The sequence below is a fragment of the Homo sapiens genome, chromosome 5 (assembly GCF_000001405.40).
Source record: "Homo sapiens chromosome 5, GRCh38.p14 Primary Assembly".
NCBI classification, from domain to species: domain Eukaryota; kingdom Metazoa; phylum Chordata; class Mammalia; order Primates; family Hominidae; genus Homo; species Homo sapiens.
In genome coordinates this window covers 11,058,590-11,075,556 of record NC_000005.10, presented here as the reverse complement: position 1 = coordinate 11,075,556, position 16,967 = coordinate 11,058,590, and the positions used below count along the sequence as shown (strand labels likewise).

The 16,967-nt window shown below is 41.1% G+C and overlaps 1 protein-coding gene across 12 annotated transcripts in view, besides 2 other annotated features; it reads left to right on the top strand.

The window, feature by feature from the left end:
• Positions 1 to 16,967, top strand: part of CTNND2 (catenin delta 2) — a 932,611-nt gene that overhangs the window by 828,890 nt on the left and 86,754 nt on the right. The window lies entirely within an intron of this gene.
• Positions 6,064 to 6,654: an enhancer, noted in NCBI's record as "NANOG-H3K4me1 hESC enhancer chr5:11069015-11069605 (GRCh37/hg19 assembly coordinates)". NCBI's record gives its function as "activates a minimal SCP1, AML or CMV promoter by ChIP-STARR-seq in primed H9 embryonic stem cells {active_cell/tissue: H9 hESC(primed)}" and the evidence as "EXISTENCE:reporter gene assay evidence [ECO:0000049][PMID:30033119]".
• Positions 9,295 to 10,222: an enhancer, noted in NCBI's record as "OCT4-NANOG hESC enhancer chr5:11065447-11066374 (GRCh37/hg19 assembly coordinates)". NCBI's record gives its function as "activates a minimal SCP1, AML or CMV promoter by ChIP-STARR-seq in naive H9 embryonic stem cells {active_cell/tissue: H9 hESC(naive)}" and the evidence as "EXISTENCE:reporter gene assay evidence [ECO:0000049][PMID:30033119]".

The window sequence follows — 16,967 nt, the reverse complement described above, 5'->3', positions numbered from 1 at the left end:
GCTGAAGAGAAGGACCTATCCTCCGTGTCATGAGCCTGGCCCTTTCCCAGTTTGCCATCATCCTTTGGCCTCATCCTTCTGTGCTTTGCAGGACTGTTTCCCTACATTCTGCTCCCATTTGGATGGCTGCTTCACCACATTGGGGAGGCTGTGTAAGAATCTTCCTTTGACTGACGCCCCCATATGTTCCTATTCTATAATCCACTTTTCACGCTGGGCTTTCTTTTCACTTTACCAACTAGCTGAGCTTCTGTCCAGCCAATGCCTTCTCTCCCCATTCCAACCTCAAAAGGAGCACAAGATGGGATCTGACTTTCTCTGGGGTCAGAATAGGGCCATTTCCTAGGGGGAATCTGCTGCTTCTCAAACACAGGCATCCACCAACCAAGATGGAAGGGAAGGGCGCTACACAGCGCCCCCCTGTGTAGTGAGCATTACACAACTCATGTTTTCCCACGTGAACAAAATCAGGAACAAAATAAGGGTGGTTTCTTGCCTGGGAGTTTATTATTTTTTAAGTAGTAAAAATCATTGCTATTCCTTTCCCCACATGGATCTTTAGATCATCCTTTTCATTCATTCTGGGGGTTAAGGAGGTGGGGGGTGGGCAGGGGGAATTAGGGCCATCCTTTCAAGCTTCCTTTACTTACCACAATGTTTTAAATATTCAAATAATAGATTTGATCTGCACATTGTAAAGACTGTTTCCGGACAAAGATTCCTGGTGATATTTAAAGGACGACATAAAAATGTTCTGTCTTTGAGTGAAAATAAAGACTGAATAAAGAAAACGGTGATGCCCATAGAATTACAATACTCCTTCCTCCATGCCAGGTCTTTACTTAGTGAGAAATGTTTTTTCCTTTGGAGAACTGGAGTGAGGGGTGGTGAGAACAGGGAAAATCTTCGTTATATCAATACTGTCCTGAATGTTACATATAAAGCTTTATAATGGAATCTAGGAATTCTAAACCTGGAAATACTGCTCTTCATGGAAGCTTTGAGATACCTTTTTAACCAAACCCTCAATGATGAGAGCATGAACTGGGGAATGAACAGATCCCTGCAGCTGTGTCTCCACTTCAATGACAAATGGTTACAAATGATACTCAGGACATCATTCCTCAAAGTCCGTCTAAATTCCACAGTCTAGGATTGAAACGCACCTGAGTCAGTATCCTCTCCATGCTCAGAGTATCATATTGCACCCCCACTGTCTGCTGGCGAAACTGAGAAACAGAGGGCTCTAAGAAACATTTAGAGTCCTATCAGTTAAAATAGATACCCATGTGTTTTCTTATTTTTGCGTCTCATGCTAATGGCTGGCACGTGACAGAACGTTCTGGGATATGGGTGCTCCATTCTGGGAAACAGACCTCTTGAGGGTCACTGATCACGTGGCACTGTAGGCACCTTCTTTACTTGTGCTCTTGGCCCTGACGAATCCCACCTCCGTCCAGGGAAAGATACAAGGCTGTGGAAAGTCCAGTGCAACCCAGGAAGGCAACGTGCTGTTTTTAGTACTGGAAATATGTAAGTTCACTTTATTACGTTGATCTGAGGAAATTTTAGAGACATATCTTCTCTGCTTTTCAAAATATGTTTCTTCAGACCCAGACAGATGTCGTTTTTATTAGAACACTTGGAATTTCAATTAGTATTTTAAAAAGAAACCTTATTTCTTAGACAAAGTGATTTGTTGGAGCACTCTCTGCTGGTTTGTTTTAATAACTTGATTTCACAAGCCACATTTTAGACAGAAGGCAAGCTCTGTACCTTGGCTGGAACTTTGTATCTTCAGATTAGGTGCCTATGTTACAGCTCCCATCTCCTAAACCCCAGAACCTAATTTCATGAATGCTGCCTCCCTTTTCGGTGAAGCCATGGGTTCTTTGTTAATTAACTTGGGACACCTTTTGGGGAATTTTGGCAGCTGGGTCGGGAAGATAAGAATTCCTTAAAAGGGAAGTTATAAATAAATTGAAGAGCCAATCATTATTCTATTAAATAAGAATTAATGATTTGTCCCTTGGAAATACTCCATGTGGGGAAAAAGACAAAACTGAAACATTTCCAGTTGATTCAAATTCAGGACTTCTGCCCAAAGGCTTAGAGACCTCAAAGAGAGAGCAAGAGACGGAGAGCCGACCTAACTTTATTTGGACTGTTTAGGTGTTCATTTTATGTCTGGCCAAACAGTTTCCGAAGAAAAGCTTTAGAAAAGAGGATGCATGAGAAATGAAATGGCTCTCCTCAAATACCACAGCCAAATCTTGAGAATATAAAAACAGAAAATAGACGTTTGCAGGATAATGTTTTTACATTGTATTCCCTTCTATGTGTGGACTGCTATCTTCTCTCCTTGTTAAAAACAAAAGTCTCAATCAGGTGGAAAGAAATTATTATTTTTACTCTTGAATACTAAAAATTAATGGATTAGAAATGAGTTTAAACGTTTAAAGATGAATTCTTTTTAAACCATCCTGGCTGATGTTTGATTATATTTATTATACTGGATCTCAAAAAATTACGGAGCAGGCAAGGACAGCTGTAATTGGGTTTCAGCTAAAAGGAAGGCTCCAGGCTGGTGCCATCAATCAGATGGGCCAGTGGTGCTGCCCTTGGGGGCATAAGGCAGTTAGAAGAGAAGGAGGCAGACAGCAGGGAGGGGACAGCCAGCCTAGCAGGAAGGGCACCGCAAGCCCCCGGGCATACACCAGGGGACCAGGAAGGAGACAGAAGCCTGGAGATGCAGCCCCGCCAGTGTCCCAGTGTCTGGGCAGCCTGAGGCCGGATATGGGATGCTGGTCTGTGACCTGGCATGAGCAGCAACCACAGATTCTGCTCCTAAACCAATTGCCTGAAGAAGAAAAAAGCTCGTGTTGTTCATCCTGCCAGACTCCAGTCAAAGGGACATTGAGTGAGAGAATCAAGCAATTCCCAACAGCTCCTCATGAAAATGTCCTGAAAGTTCATTCAAGAAAATTAGTTGAAATTCGGACATTGTTTCTCTCATAACCAGAAAGTTCGTAACAATATACTGTCCATTTGGGAAACTTGGTTTTTTAAAGTTAAAACAAAATTTTCCTATTCAATTTCGTGTATTATAATGTACTTAAGCAATGTCAGGTAAAATGAATGGATTTGAAGCATAGAGTGGCTTATTTCCTAAGCATATAATAGCCTTCAATCCCAAAGTGAGTGTATGTTTCTTATCATTTGATGTAGGCTACTGAACTTCAGGCAGTATAGCCTGGGCTGATGCACATATATGTTAATGTGCAGTGTGTTACTTTCAATTAAGGCTCACTAAGACTGCAACATTAACATTAGAGGTTATTCAGTGCTCAAGAGAGATCAAAAGATACAAATCCCTGTGGTCCTCACCTTGAGACTTGAACAGTTTAATTTATTGGTCAGAAAGGAAAGTTATAGTGATGAAATGGAAACTGGTGGTATTACATTTTAATTGACTATTACCTCCACAGACTAATACCCCCAGTGTCTATGGGAGTGACCTTATTCCTCTTAAAATGTTAGAAACTCACTAGGTTTAATTTTCCAGTCACCATCTCCTTTCTTCCTCAGATTCGAACATAAACCCCAGTTTTTACTTGGCCTTCTTTTCCCAGTGATAGAAATGAACAGAAACTTTCCTTGTTTTCTTTTCTTCCTTTTCTTTATCCCAAGTGAGTAAACCAAGTGTGATATCTTATTGATACTTTGCCAGGGAGTTTCTTGAGTTCTCTTTACTACCCCTCAGCATTTTACTTTTCAGTTTCAGCCCATAGCATGACAAGCCCAGGACACACGCGCACTCTGTGGGGGTTCCTGCCCTCTGCCCCTTCTTACCCAGTCTGCACTCCCCCCTCCCACATCACTGCTGCCACGCTTACCTTTGCAAGGTACTCCAGTTACAGACTAGTCAGTGTTTCCTGATGTGAATGACACAAAGTGAACTCTGCTGCCTCATTTTTTTTTTTCGTTTTTTGAAAAAAAAATTTTTGAAGACAGGGTCTCACTTTGTCACTCAGGCTCTGTCACTCAGGAGTACAGTGGTACAATCTCAGCTCACTACAACCTCAGCCTCCGAGGTTCAAACGATTCTCATGCCTCGGGCACCTGGGTATCTGGGATTACAGGTGCAGACGCCACCATGCCTGACTAATTTTTGTATTCATAGTAGAGACAAGGTGTTGCCAAGCTGGCCAGACTGGTCTTGAACTCCCGGCCTTAAGCCATCTGCCCGCCTCAACCTCCCAGAGTGCTGGGATTACAGGCATGAGCCACTGTGCCCAGCCCTGATTTTTTTCTTAGTAAAAATTTTTATTGAGGCCCCCAAGAGCCTTTGTGCTTCTTAGTGCAGTAGATATGTCTCTCTTCCAAACTTGCTGGAACCTTCCGGCAGCATTTGGCATATTCACGTACCTTTGTTCCTAAGATAAAACTTTCCTAGTGTTCTTCCTACTCTTTTCCTTCTCCATTTTTCTCCCCTCTTTGGCCTTTTCTTCTCCACTTTACGTCACTGCTGTGTCCTGGGCCTTTTTGTCCTCTCCCCCTCTCCTCTCCTCCCTTCCTCCTCCCTCCCCTCCCCTACGCACTCCTCCTCTTCCCTCTCCATATACACACTATATCTAAGACCTCTCCTCCATTTTATTTCACGTCCTCTTCATTTCTTCCTGCAATAAACTTGTATAAATCTGATATAATTTCCCTTCTGCCTGAAGAAACTCCTTTAGCACTTTTTATAGTGCAAGTCTGATGAAGATAAATTCTCTCAGCTTTGTGTCATTTTGAAAATGTCTTTAGTTGCCTCCATCCACAAAGGATACCTCTCCTTAGAATTCTGAGAATAATTTTTTTCAGCACTTCAAAGATATTATTCTGTTGTCTTATGGCTTCCATTGCTTTTGATGAGAAGTCAGTTGTTACTGTTGTTCCCTGAGTATGTATTTTTATACTACCTGCTTTCAAGATGCTTGGTCATTATTGATTATTATATTTCCTCTACCCCATCTCACTTTCCTGTCCTTCTGGGAATTCAATTACATGTATATTACACTACATGATATTGTCCTGTAGGTAGGTCTTAGATCTTCAGTTTAAGATTTTTTTATTGTTCTTTTTCACTTTGTGCTTTAGTTTTGATAATTTCTAGTAATCTATCTTTAAACTCACTGGTCCTTCCATGTGCTATTTTCAATCCTTTATAAAGGCATTATATAAATCCTTCCTGTCTGATATTGTATTTTCCAATTCTAGAATTTCAATTTGGTTATGTCTTATAGTTTCCATTTCTCTGCTGAATTTAACCAATTTTTTTCATGCATGTTGTCCATTATCTCACTAGATAATTTAACAAATATATCACAGATAAAGTCCTTATCTACATATTCTAACATCTATATTATTGTGGATTTGCCTATGATAACTTTATTTTCTCTTAATTTTCGGTCATATTGTCTTACTTCTTTGCAAGTCTTGTGATTTGTTATTGTATGCCGGACGTTTTATGTTGAAAGATTTGAATAGACTGAAGTTGGTAATTCTTTCCTCCTAAAAAGCACCTCATTTCATCTACGGGGTTGCTAAGGTAGAGGGCTGAGATAATCTAATGCATGCTTTAACTATATCTGGGCTTTAGTTAAATTCAGCCCAGCTGCAGCCCAGTTAAATTCAGTTTACCACTGAGTGCAAATGTTTCAAGAGCATGATCAGTATTTAATCTACCATTAGGCTCAGAAGTTGAGCACCTGTAGATTCCAAAGATTTCTCTATACTCCGTATACTATTGCCCAGTTATCAGTTTTCTGAGCCATATAAGATCTCTTTCTCTGTCTCTCTGTCTCTTCTCTCTCTCTCTGTCTCTCTGTCTCTCTGTCTGTCTGTCTGTCTCTCTCTCTCTCTTTCCTTTGTTTCCCTGTCTGCTGTGAAGCTCAGCTGCCAGCTTTTTGGATCATTGTACTACCTATATTTTTCAGGCCTTGTATAATTTTACATCCACTGTCTCTATCCATCCTCAATATGTACCATTTCTGAGTTCACAGCCTCCTTTCCAGTTGGACACTCTCTCCTCTGTCCCTACGGATAACATTTTCATTATAACTCACTTAGATGGCTCATGGCAGCCATTTTCCTACCCTGATGGCTCTTTCACCTCCTTTTCTATCTACTCCTAACCCATATTCCAAGACAAATTCAGGCCCTACCCTTTTTACAAGCTTCTGTGAGTGCTCTAGATTTATTTTTGCCCTATTTACACTTCTTTGTGTTAATCTGTATACCCCCCGAGTTTGGCACTTAAGGAATTTAAGGAATGCTGTGTACAACACCATAAGTTCATGATGACTCAAGTAGAGTAGTGTCATCTCCTCCTCTAACCTGATCACTCTTTAGGAATAAGAACAATACCTTTCTCTATTTTTACTTTTTGTGCTTCTTTTGAAAGCCCCAATATGCCTAGCATTGTATTAATGTTGTGATGAAGATACACGTTGCGTAGTTACTGTTCTGCTAGAATATGAGCTCTGTGGGAACACGGACACGGACAGTGTCTTCCTTCTTTGCTACTATAACCCCCAGAACGGATCTGTTCTGTCGTCTAGCAGATTCTTATTTTTTTGTTGTTGTTTTTATTTTTGAGACGGAGTCTCGCTCTGTCGCCCAGGCTGGAGTGCAGTGGTGCGATCTCGGCTCACTGCAAGCTTCGCCTCCCAGGTTCACGCCATTCTCCTGCCCCAGCCCCCCACATAGCTGGGACTACAGGCGCCCGCCACCACGCCCGGATAATTTGTTTACATTTTTTAGTAGAGACGGGGTTTCACCGTGTTAGCCAGGATGGTCTCGATCTCCTGACCTCGTGATCCGCCCGCCTCGGCTTCCCAAAGTGCTGGGATTACAGGCGTGAGCCACCGCGCCTGGCCTAGTAGATTCTTATTAAGTTGTGTTGTAATGCATAATAGGTTGAAGTCATAATATTGTGGTTTTATAAACCAAATTTTTATTGTCATACATAGATTTCCTAAGTAATTTAAATCAGTTTGCCATTATAACCTATACCAGAGCATCTTTTATAACTGAGACCTACTTACCCTCTACTCTCTTTCCTTAACTTGAACACATCACCACCACAAACTTATAAAAATAGAACTACATGCTTTATTTTTACTCTGCAAACCAAAGCAGACAAAAAGTCCTTTCTAAAGAACACCATTCTTAAAGTTGGATGCACGGTGGAATCACCTGAGCCTGACCCAGAGCCACCTAGATATGAGTACTTGTTTCAAGGCTCCCTGAGGGATGCTGAAGTTTGCCAAGGTTGAGAACTACTGAGTTGAGTCTGTAAGATCCATCATAAATAAAAATTGCCTGCTAATCTTTTGGAAAACTGTGTTCTTCCAATTTGGAAATATTTTATAATTATTAAAGTTTAAACTTAAGAGTATTTTTCCTCTGAGATATCCCATTTCTCTGATTAGAAAAGACAAAAAAATTTGTTCCAGAAATTGCTGATCCAAACTTTATATTATTTATGTAATGGATAGTTGCTTCTAATGGAATAGCCAACTTCAGCCAACATTGCCACTAATGTCATTGATCCCTAGAGTCAAAACCAGCTTAAATTGTTGCAAATACTATATATAGAGAGAGTAGGAATATTATATTTTAATATAATCTTTCACAACACACACTTTGATGAAGACATCATGAGCCTCTTCAGTTCAGCAAAAGTCTCTACCTTTCCACTTAATAAAGCCCCTTATGTTTGAAGACCAATTTAATCAAGAGGATGGGTTTAAAGAGCTCATTGTAAACATTAAAATGCAAATATAACACTGACAATTGTAGAGGGGTCTGGGAAGGCTCCAGGGAGTCTCTCAATTCTTCAATGAGGGCAGGGTTTCCTGCCCCACTCAAGGTGTCTAAGTTTCTCACCATTCAGGATGCCTACACGTGACCAAGGTGGTTAGACCACAGGGTTGGAGGTGCTGCTTTTCCTGGCAGCACCTTTTCCCAGCTCCAGTCTTGGCTAACCTCTGGGACCTAAGAACCTGATCCTTCAGGCAGCATCTGGTTATTCCCTCTTGCGCTTTGGCCCATGGTTTCTTTGAAGCTGTGTCTCTGTTTAGGTGTGGGTTGAGTAAGGAAAGTATTTCTTCAGCATTTCAGTGAGCAAGCAAAGGAGAAGAAAAATAAACAGAAAATATGTAATTTAATACTTAGAGCTATAACCCTGCCTTGACCATTCTCCAAAAATGCTAGAGTATTACCACTGCATTTTGGTGAACTACTTTTCTTGAATTAAAGCTACGTATCACTTCTTAAACACTATTCTCTGCTTATACTCTCCTCTACCTTATATCAATACCTGGACGATTTTTAAAATGTGTTCTCTTTGATATATAGAGGGGATGTGAGGCAGTGTTTGCTTTGAATTGCTTTTGAATCATGGCAACAGGATTTTTCATAAGCTCTTCCCTCTTGTCCCTTCCCCAGGCCCTGTCCCTTCCCCAGGCCCTGACTGACAGCATGTGTTGTGTGCAGAATAACTCTGGGGTTGGTATATGGCTGCATCAGGCACTGGGAGGAGCTAATCAGTCCCCTTGAAGATCAAACCTTTGGTCTTGCTTTTTGGTCAGATTGCTAATCTGCTGAACTAAGGAAACATAGACAGTGGGAGACCCAAGGAGTAATTCTCTGGTCTGCCTTGAATATTCCTAAATTGACCTGAGACCACATTCTGGCATTAGCATTGCCTTCTTCTGTGACAGCTTGCTTAGCCCATCAGAACACGATTGCAATTGTATTTCACTCTCACTGAGTCTCGCTGTTGGTCTTGGAGGTGTCAACGAAAAGAGTCAAACTCTGCAGAATATTTGAAGAGATTTATTCTGAGCCAAATATGAGTGACCATGGCCCATGACACAGCCCTCAGGAGGTCTTCAGAATATGTGCCCAAAGTGGTCAGGGTGCACTTGGTTTTATACAGTTTAGAGAGGCATGAGACATCAATTAAATACATTGGTTTGGTCCAGAAAGGTGGAACAACTCAAAGTGCAGGGGGTGGTTGGGGATGGCAGGGGTCAGGGTGGGGGAGGAGGGAGTGAGGGGGGCTGTAGGTAAATTTAAACATTTTCTGGTTGACAATTGATTGAGCTTGTCTAAAGGCCTGGGATCAATAGGAAGGAAATGCTCAGGTTAAGTTAAAAGATTGTGGAAGGCTGGGCGCGGTGGCGCATGCCTGTAATCCCAGCACTTTGGGAGGCTGAAGTGGGTGGATAACGAGGTCAAGAGATTGAGACCATCCTGGCCAACATGGTGGAACCCCATCTCTACTAAAAATACAAAAATTATCTGGGTATGGTGGCGTGCACCTGTAGTCCCAGCTACTTGGGAGGCTGAGGCAGGAGAATCTCTTAAACCCAGGAGACGGAGGTTGCAGTGAGCTGAGATCACACCACTGCACTCCAGCCTGGTGACAGAGTGAGACCCCATCTGAAAAAAAAAAAAAAAGATAAAAGATTGTGGAGACCAAGGTTCTTTTGAAGTCTTATAATGGCTGCCCTTAGAGACAATAGATGACAAATGTTTCCTATTCAGACCTTTAAAGGGTGCTAGACTCTCAGTTAATCTCTTCAGGATGGGGAGGGCCTGCGATAAAAAGATCTAGTTATGTTAGCAGAGATTCTTTACAGATGCAAATTTTCCCTCACAAAGGACAGCTCTGCAGGACCATTTCAAAATATGGCAAAGAAACATGTTTTGGGGTAAAATATTTTGACTTTCTTCTTTGTCACATAATGTTATGCCAGAGTCAAATTGGAAAGTAAATCACGATATATAGGATTAAATAAACCCATCTGATGAGAATTTATGGTTTGTAGGGCATGACTCCCCAAATCCTTTAGATAGGAATTTGGGCATGTTAAAAAAATCAGAGTTTAGTCCTCAGAGGGAAGAGGTAACAGATAAAAAGAGATAGAGTGGGTGATGAATATTGGCAAGGATGTTTGTTGAAGAAAAGGGAGTATTTTTTTTCTAAAGCATCTCCATAGGGGAAAATAGAGGAATTATTCAGTGAGCTTCTTTCTGATAGGCAAAGGACTAGCACTCGCTAAAAGAATTTGAATGACAAAGTATCAGGGCTCCTGGGGATAAATATTTAAAGTATACACATATGTGTGACTGTGCTACTGGATCAAGCAGTAAAGTTCTGTGAGCAACAAACAATACTGAGCATTGCATAACTAAGTACAGTTTCCAAAAGAACTATCTTAAGTAGGTGAGTGACCTCATACTTATAATCATGGCTGCATCCACAGTTATTAGGCACCCGTGGGAAAGGCCCAGGTGACTGAATCAGGTTATAAAATCCTTCCAGCTTGGCTTAAAGCAGGACTTCTAGCAAACCTGCATTTTAGCTTCCCAGTTGTCTCCAAAGGCCACCTCCACCCCTCGTTAACTCAAAGCAGAGATGGAGTGGAAGATGTAGAAATGTTTAGAATAAAAATGAAATGCAGGAAAACTGCAGCTTAGACAATAACTAGCAGTAACAAGAACAACCACAACCACCCCTCCAACTGGTTAATCTGTAACCCACCAGCTCCTAGGTGGCTTGAAGGAAGCTGAGCGACCAGCTTGAACTGGGTGCAGAAAAAACAAATCACCACTGCCTAAAATCCCAGTTAGTCTAATTAGATAAGGAATCAGTCTAGATAGTAACAGTGTGATTGACAGGTACACAGACTTTCCTATAAATTTGTTTACTTTATAACTTTCCTTTAAGCATTCTGATGAACTTTTAGGAAAAATAACTATATCTCCGTTTTGCTTTGGCAAGAGACAAAGGGATGAGTTTAGATGGTAGAGCTGACAGGGCTGGTAGACCCAGGCATGAGGTAGGGGGTTTAAACAGCTGTAGGCCAACTTTGGTCTTGTCTTCTGCAGAATAGATAAGCAATCCCAAGTGACCCTTACTGCATGTGAAGAGTGGGGACAGTTACCGGAGAAGGAGGGGAGGGAGCGCATGGAATGTTCTCTATCTCGAAGGCACATCTTCTGCAGACTCCTCTCTTCTCATCCTTCCACTCTGAGCCCTGTTCTTCCTCCCGGATGGTGGGAATCAGCCTCTGATTGGTTATGAAGTCTCCAGGTTCAGGACTTTTCACAGTCTATATGATTGTTATCTAGTCTCTGCTCAGTTATGCGGTGACTAGATGCTAGTCTCTGCCTAGTTTTCTTTCTAAATTCCAAGGCGTGTGAGATTCCTTATTTTAAACACAGAAAAGAGGGAGCTCAAATATGTGCATAAAAATAGCCCGACAACTTGGCTGAAACAAGCTGGTATCTTTACTTGGAGAAAAGAAATGGAAAGAAATGGAAGGGAACACACCTTGCCTTCACCTTGACCTTCCTATAAATGCCTAAGAGGACTCCATTTCTTCCAGCCCTCCCCACCCCCAAGTTCCCTGAAGTTCTAAAGTCATCTTATCCTGTTGCTGGCATCTCCTGGGTCTGGCTGACCCATGCTGGTAATCTCCTTGAGAGAAGATGCCCTGTTCTTTCGGAGGATCTCTGTGCTTCCCCAGCATGGCCTGACCACACACAGGCTGGAGGATGCCTGTGTCAGCGTATTGATAGAATTAATGATTGCAAATCATTAACAGAATGTTTAAGAGTAGGGGTATGCAATTTATTTTTCCTTGTTAACTCTCTAAAAGACTTTTGGAAAGCTATGCCCCCCAACCCCACCCCCCTCACATTTTTAGATTTAAATTGTTGCCAGGAATATAGTTTAGTTTCCCGGGTGGCATTTTAAAAATAAAACTGACACATCCCTCTTTTAAATATGTCTTTAAAAATCTGGATACCACAGTGGTTTAGTACCCAACATCATCTTCTTCAACAATATGTGAGCAGATTATTTATCAATATTAGAAATTCTACGTCATTCCTTTTGCTCCTCAAACATATAAGCTTTCTACCTCCCCCGAAAATTTTACCCTGATTAATGTATTTTATGCTTTAAAGTGTCTTATTGCTCATTCTCTTTGCAAACAAAATTTATACAAATTAAGATATATTGTAAATATTTCTTATGGTATTAGGCTTTAAATTAAAACTTTCTTACAGATTATTACTGTAGTTATTAGCAGAATAAAATTGATCAAAATAATATATCATTTATCTTGATTAAAGTTATTCAATATAAAATGTAAAATTGTATTGGAAATGCATTCACCAGATGGATGAGCCTTTTTTCCCTATCCATTCATATATTCAAAAATAATATAACTTATTGCTTGATTGAACAAGGTTGTCTCATTTTATTCTCTTTTTTGTTGTTTTTATAGATTTAAATACCGAGAAACATTACTCATATATATAAGGTAAAGAGAATAGATGGTCTTTCCTTATAGTAATGCTACTTGATTCTTTGAACTTCTTATGCATTGATGTTTAAATATCTCATTGGGATCCGTCATCAAGTTATTTTTAATGATCTGTTAACTGTCAACTTTGTTCAGTCTTCCTTCAATCTTGTTGAAGGTAAAGAACTGGAAACTGCCCCGTTGAAGAAAACGATGAATTGTCCATCATCATGGTTGTTCCTCCTTAACCCAGACACTGGCATTAAGCAATACCCTTGGCTTCATCTCAGAGAATGTTTGCCATTGCAGCAGGGAGAAAATTGACCTGGTTTTGTAAAACAAGAGAAGGGAACGTGTGAAAGAACATGCAAGCACGTTTTTCAGGCAGATCAGTTTTGTTCAGAGTGCATAAGGAGGTCGAGAATCTGAAAATGGATTCCCTTAAAACCCCAAACCCTGTATCCCCCTGGCAAGCCTTTACGCGGTCCCCGACAGCACACAGGGCTCCTTTTGGAGTCTGCCCCAGGGGAGCCTGCCCCCAGTGGAACTATAGCTATGAGCTTGGCGTTGTTCCCATGTAGTCAAGGGTTAACATTAGAAGAATGTGCTTGTCTGATGAATTAGCTCGGGCTTTCCCAAGTCATTTCCACAAATGCCATTTTTGAGCTGCAGTTCCCCAGAGGGAGCTCACGTAAAGAGAAAAGCAGCCAACTGTGTGGTATGAAACACCAGGCAAGATTTAGGGGTTGCATTTGAAGCTAATTAAGACTACAGTGAGAATTTTATGCTAGATCATAATTTCTTATCTTCATATAGAGTATCATTATTGGGACAATGAGTACAGTATTTAAAAATTCCCAGGGACTAATTAAATATAAACAAGTCCAGCTTTCAAAATAGAAGTGCCACAATTCATTGTTCATACCATGAAAGTCTAATGTGATTATTTAATACAGTTGGCAAAATATGCTAATACATAGTTGGATATTTCAAGGGTTTAGTGTAATTTTATCCTTGTGTACTAACTTCCAAGATGTGGAATTAATTTATCTCCTCATTCATTCATTTGACCAATATTTTTTGAGTGCCTACTATGTACCAGTCATAGCACATCAAAGTTTCTGCTTTGTGGAGCTTACAGCCTAGTGGTGAAAATAGTCTCAAAAATAAGCAAACAGGCCCTGTGCAGTGGCTCACGCCTGTAATCTCAGCTCTTTGGGAGGCCGAGGCAGACAGATCACCTGAGGTCAGGAGTTCGAGAGCAGCCTGCCCAACATGGTGAAACCCCATCTCTACTAAAAATATAAAAATTAGCCGGGTGTGGTAGTGGGTGCCCATAGTCCCAGCTACTCCAGAGGCTGAGGCAGGAAAATCACTTGAATCCAGGAGGAGGAGGCTGCAGTGAGCCGAGATTGCACCACTGTACTCCAGCCTAGGTGACAAGAACAAAACTTTGTCTAAAAAAAAAAGAGAAAGAAAACAATATCTACTTTCCACTTCAGACATGAGTAAAATAGGGTAAGGGTTTAGAGAGTGACAAGGGGAAGGGAATGTTGAATGGGGTGGTCAGGAAAGAAGTCTATGAAGAGGTAAATCCTAAGAGATGGACAGGAGCCAGACCTTACACCATCTGGGCAAGGGAGCAGCAAGAGCAAAACCCCTGGTGCAGGAGAGAGGTTCGCAGGTGGCAAAAACAGGAACAAGGTCAATGTTGTTGTAGCTGGAAAACGAGGCAGGGAAAGGTCAGAGATGCTGATGGTGAGTGCGGGATACCTTTCAGCCTGGATAAGGAAGTTGGATTTTTCTCTGAGAGTTTTGGCTCATGAAAGCATGATCAGATGTTTATTACTAAAAGTCCTCTCCGGCTGCTGGTTGAACACTAGACAGTAGATAAGATGGAAGAGCAGTGAGGACTTGGATTCAGGAGTCTGGGAAAGAGCTCATGCTGTCCAGGACCAGAGTTGTAGCACAGGGGTAGAAAAAGTATTTTGAAGGTGGAACCAGCAAGGTTTGCTGATGGATGAAATACAAAATGCCGTAAGTGGCAAAAAAAGACAGAGGAGGGGAGGGGATGGTAGATCACAACTTTGATTTTGGACTGAAAGTTTGAAATATCTGTGAGACATGAAAGGGGACATGCCACGTAGAAAGCCGACAATATTCATTTAGAGCTCAGGACTGAGATATTAATCTGTGTGTCATCAGTGTGAAAAAGAAAAAAAAAGATAGTTAAAGTCATGGTCCAATTATGTTAATCTCTAAGTACAGAAACATCTACAGGAAGTCTCATCTTAAAATAAAATGCCCATCCACAGGTAGATAAGCATTTCTTGGCTCATTAACCCAAGACAGGTTTCTTACATAATTGTCTTCATTTTTACTTTGGAATAAAGAAGACAAGAGGTAATGTTTCCTTGTGTGGATGATACTGAAAATTATAAGACCACACATGTTCAGATTATTTTAGGTTGACTGTAGGTCATCACGTGAAGCCATTTTAAGTTCCTCTTACTTGTTTAAGAACAAAACTTAAACAGATTTATTCATGCCACTACTGTTGAGGCATCTTGGCTGTTTATCCACCCCAGGAAAAAATATGGGACATGAGGAAAAGGCCAATCAGTTGAGACTGATCAGAAGTCTGAATTTCCATCCACGAGTCTAGACTCTCGTGTTGGGTATTATCTGTCTTACTTTTATTTCTTTAGGCTTATTATTCCGAATGGTCACATCTTACTCCTGAAATTTTTATCTGTCAGGTAATTTGTGTGTGTGTGTGTAGTCATCCTTTACTATATGGCTTCTGGGACTTGATGAATCCCTGTGCACAGGACCACGTACCTAGTCATTCTGTCTTGATCAGTTTTCCATGTGGAGGAAATTGTTTTAGGGGCCCATAGGTGCAGTGCCAAGTTATTTATCCATGGAATATATTATAATGAAAATGAATGGAAATGCTTCTTTGCTAGTACCTTTATAAATGCAGTGGGGGTAGCTCCCACCCCTTGAGCCGTCCCTGCAAATGCTGTGGTTGTGAACTTATCTTCCATTTTTCAGCTGTGTGCATGGCTTGGCAGGAGACTCTGTCAAACATTTAGAAGTGAGAATAGCCTGCAGGGAGGCAAATGCTCCCAGAAGTTATAAATCTAATTGATAGAGGACCATTAGACACCTTGTAGTCAAGCTCTCCTTATTTTGCAGGAAAAAATATTTTACTTCTTCCTTTTTCTTCAAATCCTAGATAAGCCTCAACAAAATTACCATTTTTTATATAAATATGGTATGAATGTATATATTCATGTGTATGGGTATATCTATATATATACACATATATTTCAAAAAGAGTTTCTGTGATACTTTTTCTTATAAATTGAATACTTTTTTTCATTCAATTGAATCTTGGTGGTAGGTGAATGATTTTTTAATCTTATATGTAGCTCTGTATGCCACAGGAGTTTTTATAAACAACATGATTTTTGTCCCAAGCTATTTTCAGAAATGTCTGTGACTGACATGAAATGGGAAATCATGGTGATTCTGCCTTCAAATTTCCAACAGATTCATGATGCTTCTGTGCTCATAGCTAAAACCCAGCTCTGTAGTACGGATGATGTACAAGACTGTATTAGTTCGTTTTCACGCTGCTGATAAAGACATACCTGAGACTGGGCAATTTAGAAAAGAAAGAGGTTTATTGGACTTACAGTTCCACATGACTGGGGAGGCCTAACAATCATGGTGGAAGGCAAGGAGGAGCAAGTCATATCTTATGTGGATGGCAGCAGGCAAAGAGAGAGAGTTTGTGCAGGGGAGCTCCTCCTTTTAAAACCATCAGATCTCATGAGACTTATTCACTGTTGTGAGAACAGAACAAGAAAGACCTGCCCCCATGATTCAGTTACCTCCCACTAGGTTCTTCCCATGACATGTGGGAATTGTGGGAGTTACAATTCTAGATGAGATTTGGGTGTGGACACAGCCAAACCATATCATTCTGTGACTGGCCCCTCCTAAATCTCATATCCTCACATTTCAAAACCAATCATGCCTTCCCAAGAGTCCCCCAAAGTCTTAACTCATTTCAGCATTAACTCAAAAGTCCACAGTCCAAAGTCTCATCTGAGACAAGGCAAGTCCCTTCTGCCTATGAGCCTGTAAAATCAAAAGCAAGCTAGTTACTTCCTAGATACAATGGGGTAGAGATATTGGGTAAATACAGCCATTCCAAATGTGAGAAATTGGCCAAAACAAAGGGGCTACAGGACCCATGCAAGTCTGAAATCCAGTGTGGAAGTCAAATCTTGAAGCTCCAAAATGACCTGCTTTGATTCCATGTCTAACATCCAGGTCATCCTGATGTGAGAGGTAGGTTTCCATAGTCTTGGGCAGCTTCACCCCTGTGGCTTTGCAGGGGATAGCCTCCCTCCCAGCTGCCTTCATGGGCTAGTATTGAGTGTCTGTGACTTTTCCAGCTTCACGATGCAAGAGGTCATTGGATCTACCATTCTGGTGTCTGGAGGATGGTAGCCCTCTTCTCACAGCTCCGCTAGGTGGTGCCCCAGTAGGGACTCTGTGTGTGGGCTCCCATCCCACATT